Source organism: Homo sapiens, chromosome 11 (genome assembly GCF_000001405.40).
Source record: "Homo sapiens chromosome 11, GRCh38.p14 Primary Assembly".
Taxonomy (NCBI): domain Eukaryota; kingdom Metazoa; phylum Chordata; class Mammalia; order Primates; family Hominidae; genus Homo; species Homo sapiens.
The window spans coordinates 80134943-80160264 of NC_000011.10; the positions used below are offsets into that span (position 1 = coordinate 80134943).

A 25322-nucleotide genomic window follows, 5' to 3' on the forward strand; every position below is an offset into this window, starting at 1 on the left:
AATGTTCTATACATTATTGAAAGTGAAATCTGCTATTATTATTGTGTTGCTATCTATTTTTCTCTTATTGCTGTCAATGTTTGCTTTATGTATTTGGGTGATCTGATATTGAGTGTATATATATATATATATATATATATATATATACACACACACACACATATTTATATATTTATATTGTCATCTTCATGGTGAATTGAGACTTTTGTCATTAGGTAATGTCTTTTCTTGTCTCTTGTGATCATTTTTGACCTAAACTGTATTTTGTCTTATATAAACGTAGCCACCCCATTATCTTTTGCTTAATATTTTTAAGGATATATTTTTCCATTTTTTTCACTTTTAGCCTGTGTGTCCTTCAAAGTGACTCTCTTGTAGACAGCATATAGTTGGATATATATATTTTAAATTCATGCAGCCACTCTATATCTTTTGATTGGGGAGTTTAATCTATTTACATTTAAAGTAATTACGAATACAGAATACAGAAGGGCTTATTATTGCCATTTTAAAAATTATTTTGTCTGTCTTACAGCTATTCTGTCCTTTGATTCTCTTGCTATATTCCTTTGTGTTTTGTTTTTTGTTTTAATTTCTTTGTAGTGCCATGTTTTGATTCCTTTCTCATTTTCTTTTGTGTATCTTCTTTGTCTTATTTGAGTAGTTTTTGTGGTTGCTATGGGGCTTGCATAAAACATTTTGTAGTTATAACAATCTATTTTAAGCTGATAAGAACTTTATCTCAATCTCATACAAAAACTCTGCTTTTTTACCTCTTCACCCCAACACTTTATGCTATTGATACAATAAATTATGTATTTTCATATTGTACAATCACTAACATATTTTATAATTATAAATATTTTTATACTTTTGCCTTTTATCTTCTATACCAACATTAAAATTGATTTGTACACCACCATTATGGTATTACACTATTTTATAGCCTTCTATAAATTTACCTTTATTAGCAAGCTTCATACTTTCATATGCTTTTGTGTTGTTGTGTAGTATGCTAGCGTGCTTTTGTTTTAACTTAACGGATATTCTTTAGTAATTCTTACAAGGCAGGCATAGTGGTAAAAACCCCCCAACTTTTGTTTATCTGGAAAAGTCTTTATTTCATTTTCATTTTTAAAAGACAATTTTGCCAGACACAATATTCTTGACTGGCATTCTTTTTGAGCACTTTGAATATATTTTCCCACTCCATTATGGTCTGAAAGTTTTCTTCTAAGAAATCTGTTATTTGTCTTTCGGTTCACCCTAGTCAGAATCCTTTGGGCCTCTTGTATCTGGATGTTTACTTCCTTTTTCAGATTTGGGAAGTTTTTGGCCATTATTTTTTCAACTAAGCTTTCTGACACTTTCTCTCTGGCTTCTTCTGATGTTCCCAAAACGTGTGTATTGGTTTGCCTGATGGTCTCCCAGGAGTTTCATAGGCTTTCTTCACTCTCTACTATTGTTATTTTTCTCCTCTGGATAGTTTCAAATGACCTGCTTTTTAGTTAGTAGGTTCTTTATCCTGCTTGATGAAGTCTGTGGCCGAACCCCTCTAATTAATATTTCATGTCAGTTGTTGTACTCTCAAGCTCCCAAATTTCTGTTTGGTTTATGTTTTCTGTTTCTTTGTTGATGTTCTTATTTTGTTCATGCATAATTTTCCTGACTTCATTGACCACATTTATGATGATTATTTTGAATTCTTTGTCAACCAATTTATATACCTCAATTTATTTAGGACAAGTTTCTAGAGATTTATTTTGTTTCTTTCATTCAGCCATGTTTTCCTGTTTCTTAATGTGCATTGTAACGTTGTGCTGGAATCCACATATTTGGAAAATGTCAACAGTTCCAGTCTATGGAATGGCTTAGGACAGAGATAGACCTTCACTAGTCAAGCAGGCTAGAAATTCTTGGGGCCTCTCAAACCTTTCCTATAGATGCAAATCCTTCCTGGACGTGTGTGTATAAGTTCCCAATTATACAGAATTGCTAATTTCCTTTTACAAGCATTTATAATTTTTTCCTCCTTCTGATGTCTGCTGTGGTACTCCGGTTCTCTTGTTCTCAGAGGCTCTCAGGCTTTTAAAGTATATTGGCCCAGAGAGAAATTTGTTCCTTAGGCAACCCCTTGAAAAGTCAGAATGTGGAACACACATACCATTCTTATCTCCCCCAACCACCCCCACCAAAGGGGAAGCTGTTGAACTGTGTTGGCCTCCATCTACTGTACCATGAATCATCTGTTACGGCAGTGCGCCACCCAGCTTTCTTTCATTCTCAATGACTCCTAGGCATCTAAAGTATGCTGGGTGCCCTCAGTGCACTGGAACAGATAAGACATAAACCAGCTTCTCAGGCAAACCCCCCAAAGCCCAAATGTTGGATGCACACTACTTCAACACTTTCCCTCCTTGGAGTCAAGTCAGAGTTGGAGTTTTCTTCCACTTGTTCCACGCTTAGATGGGGAGAGGAGCTATAGCAAGTGAGTGTGTGCTTGCCCAAACCTCTGCCTTTGTTCTTAGCAACCCTCAACCTGGTGCCCCTTTTTGTCAGTGTTTAGACTGAGACAGACAAAACCAGTCCCTTGGTCCAGATCCCCCAAAAGTCTGCACATTAAATGTATGTTTCAGTATTCTCTTTTCCTCACTGAGAAGCTGGGAGCTGAGAGTTTTCTCTCAGTTGTGCCATGATGAACCAAGTGGAGGGACTATGATGAATGAGTGCCACAAGTTTTCCTACAAGCTTTGATGCATCTGGTTTCATGCTCACATGAGGTACAAGAATCTCTTGTTTTCTGGGTTTATCACAAAGGAAACTGGTTCCTGTGTTGTCATTGATTCAGTGTCTCCATGGGGGAAGGAGGTTCTGGGGCTTCCTATTCCTCATCTTACTGACACCCAGGATTGAGCATCTTTTAATATGTTTATTCAGCCTTAATATTCCTACTTCTGCAAAATGTTTATTTTTTTCAAACTGATTTAGCATTTTGGAACCTCCATTTTCTCATTTATTAAATGTAGGTAAACCTTTTATTTTCCTTATGAGAAGTTTTTATTACCAAACTGTACTTTAAAACAGCAGCTCCTGAATACCAGTTCTTGGACGAATGTTTAGTTAGCAGAGCCAAAACTGAGCGAAAGTAGCAAAAGGGAAGGTGATAAAATTCAAATCAGCCAGCCCTCTCACCCAAATGCCCATCCAGCGGGTCTGGGGTAGAAGTGAAGACTAAGATGACAATAATTTATCTACATTTCAAAGCTCCCTATATGATTTTGTTACAGCCAGCAAAGTTTGAGCTTCACAGCTCTATATGGGTGCAAATTGTATTTGAGGTTACTACCAGTACTATTAAGAATAAAGAATTAACTTCAGTGCCTCTGGAAACCAGTGTGGAGGGGCTATTCAAGATTTTTTCTAAGGACCTTACGTATTTCTGCACAGGTGATATTAAAAATTCAAATAAAAAATATTTAATGAATTTGTAGGATCAATGAATATATATTAAAATGTGAACACAACTGCCTGAGATTAGCTCTGTAAGTGATATCACTGGAATTTAGCAATTTGTTCACTCTTTCAATTAAACAATACTTTCTGAATGCCAAGATGTATGAGGCATTCTTTTAGCCTCTTGTTGGGATGCAAGTCTTGAAAGGCATGCATCTAGCCTTCCAATTAATGAAGGCACGAATCTAGTTAATTAAGGAAGATAATATGTGTGCCGAACAAAAAGTCATACAAAGTAGAAATAAGCATCATTACAAAGGTTGAGTAAAGAGCTGTGGGAGTCTAGAGAAAGGCAAGATTGCTTCTGGCTGGTAGATTTGGCAAAGTTTCCTATAGGAGATGGCATTGAAGACAAAGTTTCCTGTAGGATATGGAAGGGTTTTGAATAGTGAGGAATTTAGACAGAGATAGAGGCTCAGAGTACATTCCAGGAGTGAACATTAGCAAAGACGCATAGGTAGCAAGGAAACAAGAGGACAGATCTCTCCACAGACACGCCTGACTTGAGATAAGCAGAATAAATACCATGATTAGGTATTGCAAGATAGCATGAAATTGATTGAGGGTGTGTGTCAGTGTACTGGCAGGAAATAGATGGTCTTTCAAATCTGGGACTGAGGAGAGTTTAATAAAGCCACCATTTATGAAGACTCATGAGAGGGGAAGCCAGCTGGGCTTCTGGGTGGGGTGGGGACTTGGAGAACTTTTCTGTCTAGCTAAAGCATTGTAAATGCACCAATCAGTGCTCTGTGTCTAGCTAAAGGATTGTAAATGCACCAATCAGCACTCTGTAAATTGGACCAATCAGCAGGATGTGGGCAGGGCCAAATAATAAAAGCTGGCCACCCGAGCCAGCAGCGGCAACCCGCTGGGGTCCCCTTCCAGGCTGTGGAAACTTTGTTCTTTCCCTCTTCACAATAAATCTTGCTGCTGCTCATTCTTTGGGTCCACACTACCTTTATGAGCTATAACACTCACTGCGAGGGTCTGCAGCTTCATTCCTGAAGTCAGCGAGACCACGAACCCACTGGGAGGAACAAACAACCCGGACGCACCACCTTTAAGAGTTGTAACACTCACTGTGAAGGTCTGCGGCTTCACTCCTGAAGTCAGTGAGACCACGGACCCACCAGAAGGAGGAAACTCCAGACACGTCAGAACATCTGAAGGAACAAACTCCGGACACACCATCTTTAAGAACTGTAACACTCACCGCGAGGGTCCGTGGCTTCATTCTTGAAGTCAGCGAGACCAAGAACCCACCGGAAGGAATAAATTACAGACACACTTGGACAGGAGATAGGACCAGCATTCAGGGGCTCGTAACACCTGGGAGTCATCATCACCACCCCTGGGACTAAAGGGGCATGAGGGGACAATTATTTTCCCAACCCCGAGAGAGAAAACGAAATGAGAGAGCACTTCAAAGAGACATGCAGAAAATCTGAGGTGCCCCTGTAGGAACCCAGATGGTAAATAAATACTCAAATCTCATTCTCTTTCCTCACCCAATCTCCTGCCAGTGCTTTGTTTTGGCTGAAGCCAGAGGACATGTGCACACTGATGCAGCCCATCCTTAGGGATAGATGGTCACATGCTAAGTGAAATAACCAAACTGAATGAACAGGCCCCTATTTCTTATCTCATTATAAGACTATGCCTATTTTCTCCAAAACACCTCACAACAATCCCCTCACTATATCATGCATTTTTGTGTTTTCCTCTTAAATTACTTTTCAATTGTAAATATTGTTATTACAAATAATAATCATGACTTAGATTAACTTGTGCATTATTGGATACTTTGTGTATACTTGTGGCCTACTCTTCAGTTGTTTGAAATCTCATAGCATTTCCTAATGACAAGAAAGGGGAGGTAATTATAGCTTACCACTCAACATCATGAACATGAAGCTTTTTAAATTATGGGATCATTATATGCACATGACAATGAACAGCATGCCCTCTGTAAAGAGGAGGAAAACCACAAAACATCTTTTGGGAATCAGTCATAAAGGAGAATCATCAAATTAACTAGGATATGAAAGATTTCTGATGGCGTAGACGGATGCAGACTCCACTTTTGCCATTTACAGAACTGCTTTTTTTAGGGCAAGTCATTTACTTTGCACGAGACTTTTGGTGGCTGTGGTTTTTGTTATCTCAGCTCCTTTTCTACCTCATTTGGATGATAGATTTTACTAACCAAATCACAGAGCTAGGACCATGATCCAGGCTGAGCCAATCATATCATGTGCCATTCTACAGCCATAATGACCTTTGAACCTAGGTATTTTCCATGAAAAAGGAGGCAAGGAAAAGCATACTTATCACCCTCCTTTGGCTATAATAAATGTTACTGCGGAGCTCCTGAGATGGTTATCTTCCTGAATCTCATCGTCAAATTCTATGAACCACCTGAGTCTTCTTCCTGTAAATTGTTTTTACCTAACCTGTTTTGAGTTGAGTTCCTGTTACTTTCAACTGAAAGACTCGCCTAATACCAAGCAAATACTGTCAGGTCCATGCCAGTCTTTGGCTTTTGTACTTGCTGTTCTTTCTGCTTAAAATGTTCCTCAGAAACTTCATGCTACCTCTCTCATTTCTTTCAGGTTTGAACTCAAATATCGACTTCTCAGTGAGGTCTCCCCTGGGATTTCCTCTAAACCACCCTCAGAGCCCTTTACCACCTTCCCTTATCAATATCTAATATCTCATATATTTCATTCAATGGTCCTATACATCGTCTCTCTCCTCAACTAAAATGTAGGTAGGAGATTTTTACTTCTTTGTCCATTGCATAATTGGCATATCTAGAAAATGCATAGACATAGATAGATTGATAAATATTTGCTAAATAAGTGGGCAAATGAATATTAAACACATTCTGTGTGCCAGACACTGCACTCAGAGCTTAACACGTGGACTTTCATATAGCTCATAGGTATTTTTTGCATTTCTTGGTAATGATGAAATCATGGAAGTGATACATCTTATTAGTGTTCTCTTTATGAAGACTGTTACCTCCATGAGGGGAGGGGTTAGGCCTGCCTTTTTCTACACGGATCTCCATTGCCTAGTGAAGTAACTGGAACTTGGAACCTATATCTTGGATATGGAAACATGAAATGGACTCTATATCTTAAACATAGCCATGCTCCCCTTTTAGTCATGGCTTTGTTATAACCTAATAAATATGACAACCAATGTATCTGCCAAAGTTTCCCTACTGGGGTTGGGTATTGGACAGCTTTGAGCAAAACAAGTCACTTATTCTTAGCCATCGCATTGGACTGACTCCTCTTTCTGCCTGTCTTGTTCTTATTTCCTTTCTCCTCTATTCTTAAATTATATTATTGTGTCCTTGTAAGCCACCTTGAATCCTTTCTGGAACAAGGCAGAGAATAAATTAATTAATTCACAGATTCATTTAATTCTCACAGCAACTCAGTGAGGTAGGTATTAGTTCCCTCATTACATGGAAGAGGAAACTGAGCCTTAGAGATATTAAGCAATTTGTCCAAGGTCACATAACTGATAAATGTCAGAGTCGGGATTTAGATCCAAGAGAATCGGTCTCCATAGCTGGTACTCCCCCACTCTCCTCATGATCTGCAATGTCTCAGGGATGCTTTGAGCTGAGGACTAGTGGAAATGATATTGGACAAAATGACAGCAGTCTGGGGCAACTCCAGGCTTTTCTGTTTTTAGGCCACTGGGACCTTGGAGTAAAACCTGTCTTCTGAGTCTGTTTCCCCACTATTCAACGGGAGTGGTAATACATCTCCCTTCTGTACTCTGAGTTCCATCGAGGCTCCTCCACTGAGGAATGGGCCTGGTCTGAGACACAGTGGTCAAAGGTCCAGAATAAGGATCCAATTCAGAACTGGCAAGCCATGGCCAAAGGACAGCACGTTCATATCCACTATCATCTAATATTAACAACAAATGAAGCTGGATGTGCTCAGGATCCTTGTTTGACATGACTCTAGCTTACTTCCTGTACCAACAGCATAAAAAGACCAGTATCTCATAAAGTTAGAGACTTTGGGCATAATAGAGAGAAAAGGGGCTCTGAACTTAGACACACTTTGGATAAAACCCTAACCTGTCTGCTGTGCCCTGAGGTTAAGGTTGAACTACTTAACCTCTCTAAATTTTACCTCTTCTATAAATTAAGAAGTACAGGAAAACCAGTCTCAACATTGACTATCACATTTTGAATGCATTTGAAAGTGATGACTGTTAAGAATGGCCCAGCTTTTTTGGCCATTGGCTTTTTCTCCCTGAATTGCTTTTGCAAGTGTTATCTTATTCTTAAGATCCCTTCAAAGTTGGCCATGTTTTTACAGAAGCGAATATTCTTCAGGATGCTTAATTTCAAAATGGTGTTCCAAATATTTTCCCCTAAAACATGCATCTCTGTGAGAGAGCTTATATGGAACTAGGGCCAAGGCTCACATCTTCTATTTCATTTATTCATTCATGCATTCATTCCACAAACATTCTTCTGCTCTGTGCCAATCACTATGCCTGACATGAATAAAGTTTTGCTCTAGAGCAGTCACATTCCTATGGGGAACAAAGACAGATAAGAAACTGTGTGACTTGTGGCATAATGAAGGGATAGAGAAGGTCTTACAGGAGCACAGAGAAGACCCAGCTGTAGATACATCACCCGAGGCATCCTCAACATCACAGTGCCTTCATGCATGGGCCTTGTTCTGGCTTTCGGACTCTAGAGAGCATTTGGTGTCTGTGTAGGGGGAAGGCCTCTTGATCTCCAGCATGAGCTTGGATTCTGGGCTCCTGTCTTCTGGAAGGTTCTGCTTATGGACTTTCCCATTCCCTTGTAAAAACCCTCTGAACCAAGCCATGTAATCCATCAGGGCTTGGTGCCTTGTCATTTTTAATGGCACTAATTGTCTTGTTATCTACTTCTTTGCAATAGTAAAGCCTCTTAATATTTCATTTTCCCTCCAGAGGGAAAGAAAACCCTTTTTTTCACAGAGTCATTACACTCTGTCTCATTTGCATTAAAAAAGGAAATATAGAAGTTGTCGCATTCCATGGAGGTCCTCAATATACCTGCTATATATTCTGTGCATCAGTTACTAGTACTCCAGTACCGGATTACCAAAGTCCCAGGGATGCTCTAGTCCAACACCTCAACTTTGACATAAGAAATCTAAGATCTACAGAAGAGAGAGTCAGTTAGTTGGAATCTCCTGACTTCTGCCTCCCACCCTACTAGAGTACTTTCTTGGAAACCTCCAGGCTCAGCACAACTACTCTCTCCAGTCAATATGTCTGCTGTGATCAACGGTTCCTATCTTGCCGAATTCACTCTTTTCTTGGTAATTCTTGCTAAGCGTGTAGGGGATGCTAGGCATTATGATAACTGCTTTAAATCATTTCCCTTTAGATCACAAAGGTACCTTTGGGGCTTATTGGGACAATGCAATTTAATGGACTAATTTAAAGGAAACACACTGAAAAGCGCAGTGATATCTCTTTGGATGAACGAATAAATTTGGTCATTCAAGAGAAGGCAGCACATCATTTGCAGAACAGAGATACCATGGAGCCTACAACTCTCCTCACTCCCTTCTCAGTCTTAGATTTACCAGACCAAATGCCACAGGGAAACCCCATGTTTCATTTTTCCACCAAAAGGAGCATGATCTGCACATGTGACCAAATCAGAAGACAAATGTGTAGATACTTGCCTTACCCTAATATCAAACTTGTTTTGAAGTGTGGGTGATATAACTTTTACTCCTCTCTATCCTAACTTGTAAGTATACCTACCTAAAAAAGGTATATGGTATACCTGGGCCTACACAGAAGCTAAGAAGGACAGTGAGGATTCCACGCCAGGCATTTAGCTTATTTTCTATCACTATATCATGCAGAAAAAGAAAGAAGAGGACCTAGCAGGATGCCAGTGTCCTTGTTTTGATAATTCATTTAATCTTTCTGATATTATCCCTCTAAACTTCAGATTCCTCATCTATTAAAAAAAATGAAGAAGGATAATATCTTCTCTGCTTACTTTACACTAAAAATAAAATCAGAGACTAAATGGAAAAAATAACTTGTATATTTTTAAAAATAACTTTTCTCTCTTAATTCTAAGTGAACATTCACTTATTTTTTCATTAGAAAAGAAAGGCAGGATATAATATTTTAAATCAAACATTGAGCCTCAAAATGCTTACAGCTGGCACTTTGGGAACAAATTAGAGCCCAGAAGCAAAGATAAATGGAAAGCATTTACAAGCTATATGATCTGGAAAATGGGAAGAGAGTCGATTTTTGAAAAGACAGGAAGAAACAATTGACTGAATAATTAGAAAACAGAAATGATACATTAACAGTCTTAGCACACCACAGAGAATAGGGACATGGACAGATTCATTAGAGGGCTGTTTTTTCTTTTAGCACAGCCTCAGTGGCTTTAACACAGACAGATGTGAAGGGGAAAGGTCAGACTGTTAAGAAAGGCAGCAGAGCTACTGAAGAGGAAGAATACAAACAAAAACAAAATTACACTGTTTTACATTGCAAATTCATAGTCACAGGATTCCAGATGCAGGATCCAACTGATTGTAACAGAATGGACTTGCTGGGAAGGAAAAAGACTAAAAAGAGTGAAAATGAAAGCAGGAGGTTTAATGATTAAAAGCATAGATTTTGTTGCAGGACTGCCTGGGTTTGAGTATGAGCTTTACTAACTGTGTGACCTTCAATAGGTGACATAATTTCTCTGGCCTCAGTTTTTTCCTCTCTAAATTGAGAATAATTACAGTATCTTTCTTATTGAGTGGTTATAGAAAATAACTGAGTAAATACAGTTAAATACAGACTGATAATGACAAAACAGAAATAATACATTAACAGTCTCAGCATACCACAGCGACTGGTTGATTCATCAGAGAGTTACTTTTCAACACAGCCTCAGTGGACAGATGAGAAGGGAAGAGTTAGACTGTTAAGAAAGACAGCAGGGCTACTGAATAGTAAAATCATTAACAGAAACCAACTTACATTATTTTGCATTGCAAATTCAGTCATATGATTGCAAGTAAATTGCTTAGAACAATGCCTGATACTTCTTCGAAACAGGTGTGTTAATTCTTATTGTCCATATATGAAAGAAATTTAAAGGTATTAAAAGCCCTGTCAAACACGAGATGGTGAGGAAAAAAAAACCCCTCAGATTAGTAATTTCTGATATATGGCAGCATCACTGATGAAGCCACACAGAGCTCCTAGCTATCAACAGGTGATCAAGGAAGAAATTTCAGATACAGCAAAGATGAGAAAAACAGGAAGACAGATAATGCTAGAGAAAAAAGAAAAAGTTACCTGAAAAATATTTAGTAAAAATTTGCACCTGGCAGATTATTTTGTTTCCTAAACCCGGCTGGATATCACTTTCTAAAGGAAATATTATGTTAAAAAAGAAAGGAAAAAAAAGAAAGGATGGAAGGAGGGAAGGAGGGAAGGGAGGAAGGGAGGAAGGGAGGGAAGGAGGGGAAGGGAGAGAGAAAGGAAAGGAAGGAAGGAAGAGAAAAGAGAAAAAAGAGGAGGTGAAAGTGATAATGAAGCTATAACATGAGACTGCCTGGTTTTATATCCTTGGCTATGTCATTTACAGGCTGTGAGGCCTTAGATGAGTTACTTAATCTTTCTGAGTCTACTCTTCCATAAAATGGAGATGATAACAAATAGCTTATAGGATTTTGTGAGGAGTCAATGAAATTACTTAAGGCCATTTAGAACACTGCCAAGCACTTGTTAACACACAGCAACTGTCCAGTAGATATTATTCCTGAACGCTGAAATATGCCAAGTATTGTTCCTGGTATTGTACAGGTAAAATGTTAAAAACCTCAGAACAACCCACTGAAGAGAGCAGACCTCAAGGGTATTAGTCATCTCCTCAGCACCTGTCAGCTAATGAGTAGCAAAGCTAGGATTCTAATCCAGCCGTTTCTGGATCCCATGTCCCATGCTCCACTGCCTCCCAAATGAGTCACCGAGTGTAAATCACATCCATTACACCGCATAGCACATCACGTAACACCCCAAAAACTTGTGTATGCATTAAAGACATGTAGTATTTTACGTAAACCCAAGTTTTTATTTTAAAGCCAAATGTGAACAGCTGATAAAAGTTATAACAACTATGATTTATTATATACGAAGGGCTTTACATACATCACATCATCATTGTCATTGTCATCATTATTACTTTAGTGTCTGCCTGTTATGCATCTGATGCTATGTTTCATATTTTATATCTGTGCTTCTCAAACTTTAAAGTGGATAAGAATCACCTGGAGATCTTGTTAAAATGCTGATTCTGATTCAGTAGTTCTGGGGATAGCCTGAGAGTCTGCATTTTTAGCCAGGTGTTACTAATGCTGGTTTTTCTTTTAAGCTTAGAGTAGCAACATTTTACAGGCTATTCTTCCTCTACATTAATGCTGTTATAAGAATTTTACAGGAACTATTATGCCCATTTTAATGAAGAAGGAACTGAGGCTCAGAGAGGTTATGAGCCCAGCCTCTGGATATAGTAAGCAGGAGACAGAGCCAGAATTCAAGCTGCCATACTTCTGGGTCCAATGTCCCTCAATATCTCCCTCAAATACATAAAAGACCATATTTAATTGAATTCACATTCCAGCATTTTAAAATATTCACTTTTATTTCAGAAACATTAGCTAAGTATTCATATATATTTTAAAAACCTAATTGAATATCAAAATATAATAAATATACATCCTTGTCCTTTATAATAGCAGTCTAGTAGGAAGGCAGAGAAATAAACAAGCACTAAAACATAATATGAAGTAATCAGTACTGGCAAGAGTACAAGAAATTAAGGACTTTGATACAATCTTATAGGAATTTCAGCTGGCACAACTTTTCAGCTGGGTAATGTGGTTTTATGTCAAAATGCAAAATATGTGTACTGATTGACATATAAATTTTGTTTCTATACATTTATCCTAGAAAAAAATAAATAGGGAATATGTGACATAGGTAGGTAGGTAGGTAGCTAGGTAGATAGATAGATAGATAGATAGATAGATAGATAGATAGATAGATATTCATTGGATGTTCATTGTAGTATTATTTAAGAACAGTGAAATAATTGAAACAATTGAATAACTGAATTCAATATCCACTGGAAGAAAATTGACTAAATTATCTGTGCACTCAGACTGTGAACTACCGTAGATCTATTTAGAAGGATAAACTATAGCTATATGAATTGACATGGGTAATTATTCACAGGATATTTTATGTGTGAAAAAAACATTAGTAAATAATATGTTTGGTAAGACTGTTCATGTAATGAATGTTTATTTAACTGATAAAACTAGCACATGTAAAGTATGTTGATATCCATGGTATTTGTCTTGGGGGAGGGGATAAATAAAAGGGCTTTCACTTTCTCTTTTATCTGGTTGTATCCAATATTTTTACCAGGTGGATATACTGATTTGCAATTGGCAATAACTACAAGGATATTGCCATTGTAGAATTAAACATCCACTGTCAAAAACAAAGGGTGGGCAGAGTGTTACTGCCAGTGAGAGGCAGGAGCTCTTCTCACTGGCTGACCAGTTTTGGGAAACTCCATAGAGAGGTGACAGGACACATGAAGGTGGATGGTTGAGTAGGATTTCCTTAGGATTGGAGGAGAGGAAAAAGCACTGGAGCTTGGAGAGAAGTTAAGCAAGTCACTGTGACTTGATGACAGCGGAATAAATAGATCAGGGTGCTGTCTGCTTTCTCGGAGGTCGCAAGCAATGTGAGAAGACAATGCATATATGTATAAGACAATTCGAGATTCAAAGCAAGGCAATGTAGGAATTTAGAGAGAAGATGCAGATTTGGACAAGAATTTTTCAGAACAGGAGGATTTAGTTCTTTCTACAGGGGTTTTCAATTTTATCCCAGCCTCTGAACACCTGAATGACAGGACAAATTTCATTATAATGGTGGCACAGAAGGCTAGCAATTCTCAAGGAAATTGGAGGATGGGGTGTCAGTTTCCCTTTGATGACTCCTAGCACAGAAAGTCACTCTGAGAGAAAATTGTTGAGAGACAATGAGTAAAAGCTTGGCTGGAAAGGCTACTTGGTTTGTAGAAGCTTAGAGCATCTTTGCTACCTAAAAAGTAGTATCAGGTCCTTCTGCAAGACTAGATCCCTCTCCAAGACTAGATCCCTCTCCAAGAGCAAGGTTGTTACAACTCATCCATGTGACATCCTCTTTTGGATTCCCCAGATTGTTTACCAATTTTGGGGTTATATGCAAATAATATTATAACATGACAGTAATTTAAAAGTTAGAGCATTAAAAATCATCCATCTTTCACTCATTTATAAGTTAATTTTATATATTTTATATTGACTGCTGAGTCTTCATCCATAAGCATATATCATTTTAATAGTAACAGTAATACATACATACTCTCTTCATTGATTTTTATTACTTAACATTATAGGTACATATTTTCTCATGTAAATACACAGTCCATAATTGAAATTTTAATGACTGCATTATATTCCATTGAGTTGGTGTGCCATATTTACTTACCCAGTTGTCAGACATTTAAGCTGTAATGAGTAATATGGTTTATACATTCTTTTTATATTAAAAACTATTTCTTCACAATAAATTCCTTGGAGATAGATTATTCAGTCAAAAATTATAAATCATTTCTTGTCTCTAAAAAAGGCCAAATTTCTATGACCACTCACCTCATACGTATATGCAGTTTTATCACAATGCCACTAGTACTTTATATTATTATTTTTAAAGAAGACATCTTCTAACTTTAAAGGTGCAAATTGAGACTTGCTATTCTGTAGTTTTTTTTAAAGGTTTTCAATGGCAAGTGCTAATAAGTCTTTTATTTGATGTGAATGTTGAGCTTATAAGTACTTATTTGGTTATGAGGTTCAGTTTGCTTGTGCACTCACGCAAGTTATTTAATCAATTTGTCTTTCTGTTTCCTAGCTATAGAATGGCAATAATCAAGTGTTTATCTGGCTGGATTGTTGTGAGGATTAAGTGTGTTAATAGACAGAAAGCACCTAAAATGGTGTCTGGTACACAAAAATCACTCAATTTATGTCAGATGTTATTTTTTATTGTTGTTATTATCAGTAGGACAAGTATTGACATTAATTTGATAGAAACAAAGGATTACAATTTCTGTTTCCTATTGTGAGAATTGATAGTTCAAATCATTTGGGACATAAATATTTTCTCTAAGTTATTTATGTATCTACTGCTTTGATTATTAGGACCACATAGCCACAACTGATGGATAATTTTGAGGAAATTCCTTAGGTCCCTTGTCTCCATTTCTTCATCCTCTAAACATGAGAATGGACATACCCTTCAAGATGTTTGTGAGGATTTGAAATAATATGCATAATTAAATGGAGATAATTTAATCTTTTCTGTTTTCTTTTTTTTGAGACAGAGTCTGGCTCTGTCGCCCAGGCTGGAGTGCAGTGGCGCCATCTCGGCTCACTGCAAGCTCCGCCTACTGGGTTCGTGCCATTCTCCTGCCTCAGCCTCCCAAGTAGCTGGGACTACAGGCACCCGCCACTGCGCCCGGCTAATTTTTTGTATTTTTTAGTAGAGACGGGGTTTCACCATGGTCTCGATCTCCTGACCTCGTGATCAGCCCTCCTCGGCCTCCCAAAGTGCTGGGATTACAGGCGTGAGCCACCGTGCCCAGCCAATTTAATCTTCTTAAAGGCTAATATAAGAATTATCTTAGGAAGAGGGCTTTCTTTTTTTCAGAAATTGCCACCTTAGCCATCTTGAGGTGGGCTTCAAGGCTTTAGAGAAGAAAGGGAAACCACTTTTCATGAGAAAGAGAAGCAATTTGTTACTGAGAAGAAGAGAGGAGAGGAGAGTGATAGAAGTGGGGAGGCCAAAAGATAGCCAGGGCTTTGTAGTGACATCCTGTATTACCCTGGGACACTCCAAAATTTTCCATGTAGTTCCTATTTCCACAATATATGTAGAGTGAATTTATTTCAGGGACTGAGTTTGATGTGGGACAGTACAAAGAGAGCCCCCAGGGAAATTCAGGGACCCAGAGCTTAGTAAAGGGATATGTAGAGACACATGACCAAAGGTTGATAGGATTTTCCCCAATAAGGCTTTGATTATCCCAAAGCCATAGATTAAGGAGATCTCAAGGTACAGGGAGGCCCAGTTAGCATCAGGTGTATATCTATGTAAAACCCAGAACAGTACCTGGTGTATGAGAATTAGTTGCCCAATAAATTGGAGCATATTTAACATAAACTTTCTTTCTTACATTTGACAGGCAACTATGCATTTTCACATACATTATTTATCCTCATTTAATCTTCACAATAATTTTGGCATATTTGGGGCAAATATTTTTCTCAATCTGTTGTTTTCCTTTTTATTTTACTTATGATTATCTTTTCATTGTGCCCACATTTGAAAATTGTATGTAATTGAATATGTCAATCTTTTTCCTTGTGATTTCTTTTGTTGCTTCAAACCTTAGAAGGCCATCATTCCTCCAAGAAATCAGTAAGCACTCAATTGTATTTTTCACTAGTCATCTGATGATTTTATTTTTAAATTTTTTTTGAAAAGTTTAACTCTACACAGTGTCTTCATAAAAGCAGATATAGTGAAACAGGGATAAACTACATTTAGTGAACTAAGAAATTTTACATTAGCTAGTTGTTAGTGGATTTACATGTCATAGATATGTGTGTCTGCATGTATGTGTGTAACCACAATGACCTTGTGAGATATGTTTTATTGTACCCATTTTACAGAAAATCACATTTGCTGAGTCCTTACCTCCTGCAAGGCTCTCTTTTAAGCACTTTGCAGTCTGTCTTTACGGCAACTCTATCACAGAGGTAGGGTTATTATTTTCATTTCACATGTAAAGAAACCAAGGCATCGAGCAGCTAAATCACTTAGTCAAGGTCACAGTCCTGGAAGACGACAGTGTGAAGATTTATACCCCGTCAGTCTGACTCTCGAGCTACTTGCTTAGCTACTCCCACACACAGAAACACTGTAGATCCAAGGGGCTGGGCCCGTCACATGTTAGGTGGGGGTGGGTCTGATGATACAGTCCAGTATTTTCTTCTTTTCTTTTCTTTTCTTTTTACAACTATACTCTCTGAATCAGTCCCCCACTCCCTCCAGATTGGATAGTTGAGATGGCAATATCATTAACATAGAGACATCCTGCTAATTGCACTCAACATTTTGAAATATGAATATAAACCAATCTATAAGGCAAGAGAGAGCAAAATATTCAGAAAAGCAGAAGCTGCAGCGAGTGCAAATGTGCTTCTCAAGGCTGTTTCCACTCAGGGGTTTATGTGCCTGGTAAAAATTAAATGGCTATGTGATAAATTGACCATGAGATAAAGGAATTTTCAAGGGAATAGTGAAGGGAGGAACAAAAATGATTAAGAAAATGGGACTAACTGGGTGAGAAAAGATTAAAGGAGTTAACTGTGTATAGCTGAGCTTGGTAAAGGCAGAAAGGGAGGTGAAACACCAACAAGTATTCAAGCCCAAGAAGATCGAAGGTTAATTCCGTAGGGTAGGAGGACAAGAATTATTTCTGATGGTCTAGTCATTACTCAAATTAAATAAAAATTAATAGGAAAAGAGAAGCAAAATCAGTAGCCAGATACTTTACAAAGTATTCACACAACAACCTAGTCATATAACCAACAGCAAGAGCAGCTAAAGATCAGGTGGGAGAAATGGGAGCTGCTGGCTCCTAGGTGGTCATTTTGTTTTGCTAGGCAGCTTCCAAAAAGCCCCTGCTCTCTTACGTGGTGGGGCCGAATGATCTCTCCTTCCATTCTCGCATCATGCAACCCCTTGCTCTCCGTGTTCTGCCACCTTGCTCTTCGCTCAGCTTCTTGACCAAGCCTAGCATATGTCTCCTTGAGGACTTTCTTGACTGTTATTCCCTCTTCCTAGAAACACAGTTGGTGTAGTCATTGTCATACCTGGTCTTATTCTAACTTTTCTTCCTCATTTATTTTCCATAACTCTATATGATAGCCTTTATTATTGCTCCCTTTTTATAGATGTGGAAACTAAAGTGCAGAGAGTTTAATAGTGTGCCCCCTCCTAAACAGCTGGACTTATTTTTTTCCATTTTCTCTTCATCTTTTCAACTTTTATTCATTCTTTGAGTCTCAACTTAAGGTGACTTCTTTAAGGAAGACTTACCTGACCACCACATCTCAACTATTTCATCCTTTCAAAGTAGCCTTCACAAAATTTTTACTGCATAGCACTTCCATTTGCTTAGCAACTTGCTTTCCTTCAGCTTCTAAGCTCCATGGGAGCAGAGCCCATTGCCTGCTTGAAGTGCCTGCTGCATAGTAGATACTGAACAAACATGTGTTGAATAATTGAATGTGTATGAATTAATACTAATAGTAACTGGAATAATAAAGGAGATGGCCCTGTTCTCTTCTGTGGCCATCTGCATCTGAAATTTTTAGACCAGATCTGTATTTTATACAGTAAAAATCTACCAATATGCTAAATATACCAAAAGAAATGTGTTCAGAGGAGAGTAATAAGCATCTAAGGATGGCTCTGAGGGTTTCAGCTCAAAGCTATGTCTTTTAAGAAATAGTTGATGAATGAAAACTGGGGAAAATGGGCTATGGAAATATGCATAATTATTTTAAATATCTGAAGAACTCTATGTGTTGAGTAAATAAAACGATCAACTACCCTGGTTAATTTAATTTGCTCACCAATACCTAATACCTTCCTACCATCCTCCAAAAATACTGAATAGAAAAAAACAATTTCATAAACAAACAATTATTTTTTAGACCAAGTATATGGAATAATACAAAGGAAAAAGGCTTCTGACAACTGGGAACATAAATTTTACCTTGACTTTGAGGGATACCAACCTGGGCACAACACAAATTGACATCTCATAAAAACAGGCATATTTTTGAACGGTTGAGATTCAGCTGAATTGTATCTCATCAAAACGTAAATTCAAAACAGCTGCCCAGAGTTTTGCTGTGGATGTCTTCTACACACTGATCATATTTGATTACCTGGGCTTTCAATTATTTGCAGAGCCCAAGGAGCAGCCCCAGGGTATTTAGGAATCAGCAATTAGTTCAGTAGGTAAGTGCTGTGCCTAGAGGGCCATCATTTATGAGGAGCTATTCAATTTAACCTGAATCTTACACAAAAGTTACATTTATATAAGGAGTAGTAATTCCTTAGTCTTGTGCTCAAGCCTTCATATTTTGACTTTTAATGTTCACACTACACAACAAACACTTTGGTTAGATTAGCAGGCTGTTCCCTAGGTACCAGGTAGGTTCTCACTCCTCTTCTTACCATTCCTTTGCCTGATTGCTTATCTAAATCCTCATGAGCCTTAGATCCTACTTAAGCCATCTTCCCCGGAAGGCACTCTAGATCTCTGCAGCCCAAATATTTTCTTTTCTTTTCTTATGTCTTTTATGATATCCTTACCGTAGCTGTAAATTGTGATAAACTCATCTTAGCACTAAATTAGATAATATCATGCAAGGTGATTTACCAATGTATGATCTATTTTACCCTTCTGAAAACGTTAGTTTCTTTTTCTTTTCTTTTTTTTCTTTTTTTTTTTTTTTTTTGAGATGGAGTTTCACTCTTGTTGCCCAGGCTGGAGTGCAATGGCAAGATCTCTGCTCACCGATACCTCTGCCTCCTGGGTTCAAGTGATTCTCCTACCTCAGCCTCCCGAGTAGCTGGGATTACAGGCATGCACCACCACGCCCGGCTAATTTTGTATTTTTAGTAGAGACAGGGTTTCTCCATGTTGGTCAGGCTGGTCTCTAACTCCCATCCTCAGGTCATCCACCTGCCTCGGCCTCCCAAAGTGCTGGGATTACAGGCGTGAGCCACCGCACCTGGCTGAAAACGTGTTTCTAATTGAAGGCTATGTGTATCTTTTGTTTACAAACCCCAGTAGGGTATTGTGCAAAAAAAAAAAATTGTTAAATGAATCTATAGCGACTTTGAATCGACAAAGGTATTTTTATACATTTTAAATATTTTATCAGATTGTATTTATTAATATTCCAATTCACTTCAAAAGGATTTGCAGTAGAGCACCACAAAGGCAAACACACATTACAGTTTCTGGAAAGAAATAGACTCAAGTTGTAAAAAGAAGAAACATCAGGATATGTTAGCCATAAGAGTTAATATTGGGATGAACATTAAACTTGGTTCTGAGTCTCTTGATAGCCAAGGAGATACATGATATGTTTCATTATCTGTTTTGATCTGATAAAATGTAGTAGACTGATTCTTTATCATTTTTCTTATATAAATTCCAATGCAAACTTATCTCTGGTGATGTTACATAAGGGATCACTAGGTAAAACAATGAATAATGTTTTCAATACTTTTTACAACAAATACATAAGTGATCTTCTCATGGGTTTTTCTTCTGATGTTCGGTAAAGACCAGAGGTATAATTGAGACTATGTAGAGATATAAACACATAACACAATATTTAGATAAAATCCTAGATAAAATGCATATATATATATATATATATATATATATAGAGAGAGAGAGAGAGAGAGAGAGAGAGAGAGAGAATTTTTGTTCTCAGTTGGGCTTTTGAGATAAATAATTTAGGGAGTTTTCTAATATCTTCATTCTTTGTCACTGGGTTTTCATTTTATGACTAACTTATAAAGCTTAGCTGCTGGAATCATTATCAGCTACTTCTCTATTCTTATTAACTTTATACTCATAAGACTTACATTTATTGGTAATAATTAGACAAATTAATATTTATTCTTAGAATCTACAGGATACCTTACTATCCATTATTGAACATGATCCTCACAAGAACATTAACTAAGTGCTATCACTATCTCCATTTCTTATATAAGAAAATCTACTGGATGTGAAATGAACAGATACCTGAGTTCACTCTGCACGCATAATGTATACATTAACACGATGGAGGGTGGGGATGGTGGGGATGGTGGTGATGGTGCGTCCATTTTTTTCCCAAGATAATCCATTTTGAAATAGCAGTGCCATCTAGCGGTTCTTTTAGACACCAAAGGAATGAGGTTGTTTCAAGATGGCCCCTGGATAGTGTAATCAACATTTTATGCTATTCTACCATGCCTTATCTGAGCTAAGAGCATTTACTGCTAGTTGACAGATTTTTGACCTTTCAAATGGAAAGTGCACCACATCTACCCCAAATCATTCAAAGCTATTGATCCTAATAAATAATCTGACCTCAACCAGTGGTTCTCTTCCAGTTATTTAATGCTTAAGAAAGCCAACAATGTAACCTGAAGAGGTCAAATGTGATTAGGAAGGACCCATAGACATGATATTATCAGAAAGTGGCTGACCTGTGTGGGCATGTATCAAAGAAAAATGACATTTTTTCCCATATGTTTCCTAAGAAATAGGACACTGAAATATTGTTCCACAAAACAAGATGAAGACCGTGGATAACAACAATAATAATAAATAACTAATGTGGTGCTTCACATTTTAAAGGATACAAAACTATTTCACATACATTATTTCATGGCTTTCCTATTCGCATTTACAGGTAGTGCCTATTTTTCTTGGTTAGTTCATGTCATTAGCTTTATTTAGAATACTCTCTCCTATTCATGTTTACAGTAAAGCCAACTAAAGTGCCACTTTCTCCCTTAAGTGTTTATTTACCACCCCCTTCAGCTTATCACCATGAAGTGCTAGTTTTATTTTTACCCAGGTCTTACTATACCTTGTTGTTACCTGTCTTAGAATACTTATCTTTTTTGGTCTTGTTGGTGTAACTTTTGCATATGTTCTATATCCTCTATTTCATCAAATAGACTGGGTATCTTAAGCCTTGGTATCTCAAGTTATGGTTACTCTCTAAAAGATATCATCTAACTGGCCTAAGGCCTATTATCATGATGTCCAGAGACTCCTATGTAGCTGATCCTTGTTCTAGTTCGGCAGCTCAAAGATTAGGAATGCATTTAGACCAGTGTGGCCAGACTGGGAAGTCTGAGGGTAATAAGTGAGAATTATTTTCAATGCTGAGGGTTGTAGTTCTGTGCTTTACTCTGTAGTCATGTTGCATATTGCACAACTCAAAATTTGATAAAATACACTTGCCTGGTAGGAGGCAAACCCAGCACTGACTAGACCCCTGCTCTATTCTTATATACATAAGACTGAACTTGGAATATGAGTGGGGCAGAATTGAATTTTCTATAGCTTTGATCTGATCTTCACTCACACAAATAGTATCATTTGCAACTAGGCATCCCCCAAGTGAGGATTTATAAGTCCCAAAACTCACACCTCTGCCTGTCTTGAGTGATGCTGCTGATTCTTCTACCATCTTAACTACACTAACTTTCTTCTTTATACTGCAGATAACTGAAGCTTAATTGATCAACTCAAGTGATGCCTGGAGTTCTCATCACATTAATCCTTTAGTAGTGGCTGTACCCTTAGATTAATATTTGGTTCAGGGTGTGAGTTTAATAGATGATTATTTAATAAATGCAAGTATACATGAATGAATAAAACTATAAATTACCGAATGAATGGGGGAAGAAATGTATGCAAGCAGGGTATGAGATGATACTGCATTTTTATTTTCCTTGATTCATTTATTCAATAGACATTTATGAGGTACCTCTGAAGCACAGAATTCTACAAAGTGTTGGGAGAATATGTTTGAACACATGGTCAAGTGTAACAAAGTGGTGTAAGTCAGAAACCTGATTAAGGTGGTATGTTTTTCCTTCAAACTTCATAGGACACCGCTTGGCCACCTAGTGAATATAACATCCACTGATAACTGTACCAGGTAGTTGGAAAGTAGCCTCAGACATAGACAATTGTGACATTTAAAGCATAGAAAAACAGAGAAAACAGCAAGTAGCCATGGTCCCACCCCCAAGTTAAACACTGTTGACGTTTTAGTCTTTGACATTTCAAGCATATTAATGAACCCGAAGCACACACATTCTAATGTTAATGGAGCTCTTAATATGTGCCAGGTGCTAGGCACAGTTTCTCTTTGTCAATGTCATATTATTTAGCTACTGTCTTGGATGTGCTCCTTCCAGGGCTCCCCTTTAGGACTGAAGCACATATTTCCCAACTGCTAGTAAGGTTAGGAATGTTATCTTGCAGAGAGTGCTCCGTTGTTAGCCCTCACCAATAATTGCCTCAGCCATAAAGAACTGCCTCTCAAATTCTTGCCTCCTTCCAGGGCCAGTCTGTATAAGATAACTCACTCATATGAGAGAATAAAGGGCTGCCTACCCACCCACAACTTGGGACCCCACTGAAAGGCAATCCCAGTTTCAGAGCTTCTTATGGGAGTGGTTATGTTGTAACTGCTTTGCAGCCCAACTTCTCCCTCTGCTCAATGCAGCTGCTTTCTTTCCTCCACAGGCATTGGCCCTAAAGGCCCCTTTCAATAAAGCTTGCAAACACTCACCTTTGTCTGACAGCTATTTGAGAAGTATTATTACATATGATTAGGCCATATTTTAAATTCCCATTTTATAGATGATGAAACTGAAGGAGAAAGATGGAAGCATGTGGCTCTAGGTCCTGCTGAAAGGAAAAGCCTGAGCAAGATCTAAAGGTCATTTCATTACTGAGATCCAGTGTAGAATAAGCTGATTAAATGGGTTTATTAGCAAAAGAACTGATTTCAGCATCTATTTTCCCAATCCAAAAAAGAACGGCGGCAGTGGGTCCTTTCAGGTATGAACTTCTTTCTCCCACCTTTTCTACTTTATCTCATCCCACAACTCCCAACAAATAGGGATTTTCTTTTGTAGCACTGGTATTTTTGACTCAATGAAGAAGGCTCTACTAAGCAGGCTTAAACTTGAAGGTTGCGGAGGCTGGTGCTTGGAATTGAGATGTGCAAGAGGTCCCAACCTGGGAGAACCAAGTGAGATGCCCTGAGGACAAGAAGGAGACTTTGGGCCCTTAGTGCCAGAGAATTGTGTCCTGTTTCCATGGAGCTACTGGGAGCTGTGGCAAGGCCCCTGAGAGAGCGGTACAGCAGTGCAAGAGGGAGTTCACACTAAGGGTCATGGTTTTTGAAGCTGCAGCAAAATATCCTCATGTTTGGTGAATGAAGCTACTGGCATTAGAATGGAAAATATTGGCTTGGATGGTGAGCCTCTCTAAAATGGTACAAGAAGCCAAATAACTCCCCCAGATTATGGCAACACATAAACCTGGGGTTTCTGTAGGATCCCGTGGATACCACCCACTAATGTCTGAGAATGAAATTAGCAATAGTCATGTAGGCGGATGTTGGAGCAGAATTAATTTTATTTAGAGATATACAGAAGTATAACATGCCCTGCTGTTAAATGTGGTAGAACAAAATATCATTTCTTCCAAGATGAATACAGATAGATAGATACAGCTAAAATAAATGATGTACTTTTAAACTGATCATATTTCAGTGACAACATTTCCAATATTTGTGTAGACATCAATTATGTGGGTTTTAATAATCTAACAATTAATGTAATTAATGTAATATTTACTCCTAACCATTTAAATTGATTTAAATTTTTCTTTTTATAAACAACATTGTAATAAACATCCTTGCATGACTGTTTGTTTACATCTAATGTTATTTCTTTAGGATCAACTCTTAAAAATGGAATTGCTGAGTCTTATAGAATGTACACATTGTTGTGTCTTTGATACACATTCCCTATTTGCTCCCCTGAAAATTCAATCTACTCTAAGCACCCACCAGCCCATGTTCCCACATCCTCATCATTAGGTATTCTTTTTCTTTAAGAATTGCCAATTTTATGTGCAAGATGTGGCTTTTGATTACTTTTAGGTACCAACATTCACTGTTTTCTTGGAACACTTTGATATTTATAAGGCGATCAGTATAGACTCTCAGGGTAGAAGTATTTAAAAGGGCCAGATTTGCAAAGATCTAGAGTTCTTCATAAATGCTTTATTTAACCTGCCAACTATGAAAGTCTTATCTAGGATTTTTCAGGTGGAACAGACAAGTTGGATGGAAATGATAAATATAACTGCATTAGATAATAGAATTCAGTCTCTCTGTATTCCTAAATCAAAGCTGCCTTTCCATGTAGGATATCCTTAAAATACAAAGACAACAAAAAATAATATCACAAACATTGATATTGGAGTACGGACAGTTCAAAACAGCACAGAAAAGCAGATATCAAACTTTCTTAGCCACTAGGGATAGACTCTGGCCTTTATAATAATTGGCATGTTTCTCCTTCAGGTCAACATCTCCATTTCTCCAATAATTGTGCAAACACAATGGAAACATCAAATATATTAAATACATAAATAAAATTTTATGTATTAAGTACATAAACAAATGAATAGACATACATTTATGTACTTAATGATGTTTATTTGTACAAATGAATATTTATTCATTTGCTTATGTACTTATTCAAGATGTTTATACTGAACACTTACTTTGTGCCAGACGTTATATTAAGTGCTTTATTTTCATGGTTATCTCTTTCAAATCTTACAAAACAATAAAAAATCAGGCCAATGAACTTGATACTAGTATCTATATTAGTTTCCTAGGACTGCTGTAGAAAAGCACCATAAACTGAGTGGCTTAACCAACAGAAATCTATTGGCTCACAGTTCTGAAGGTTCAAAGTCC

The 25322-nt window shown here is 37.6% G+C and overlaps 1 long non-coding RNA gene across 1 annotated transcript, besides 1 other annotated feature; it reads left to right on the forward strand.

The window, feature by feature from the left end:
• The first annotated feature begins 2403 nt into the window (after window positions 1–2403).
• On the forward strand, window positions 2404–23550 carry LOC105369406 (uncharacterized). Its single transcript, XR_950350.3, has 4 exons — window positions 2404–2488; window positions 22033–22104; window positions 22284–22370; window positions 23461–23550. It is a non-coding gene; the product is annotated as an uncharacterized LOC105369406 (long non-coding RNA).
• Window positions 22380–22945: an enhancer, noted in NCBI's record as "OCT4-NANOG hESC enhancer chr11:79868366-79868931 (GRCh37/hg19 assembly coordinates)". NCBI's record gives its function as "activates a minimal SCP1, AML or CMV promoter by ChIP-STARR-seq in naive H9 embryonic stem cells {active_cell/tissue: H9 hESC(naive)}" and the evidence as "EXISTENCE:reporter gene assay evidence [ECO:0000049][PMID:30033119]".
• Window positions 23551–25322: the final 1772 nt, after the last annotated feature.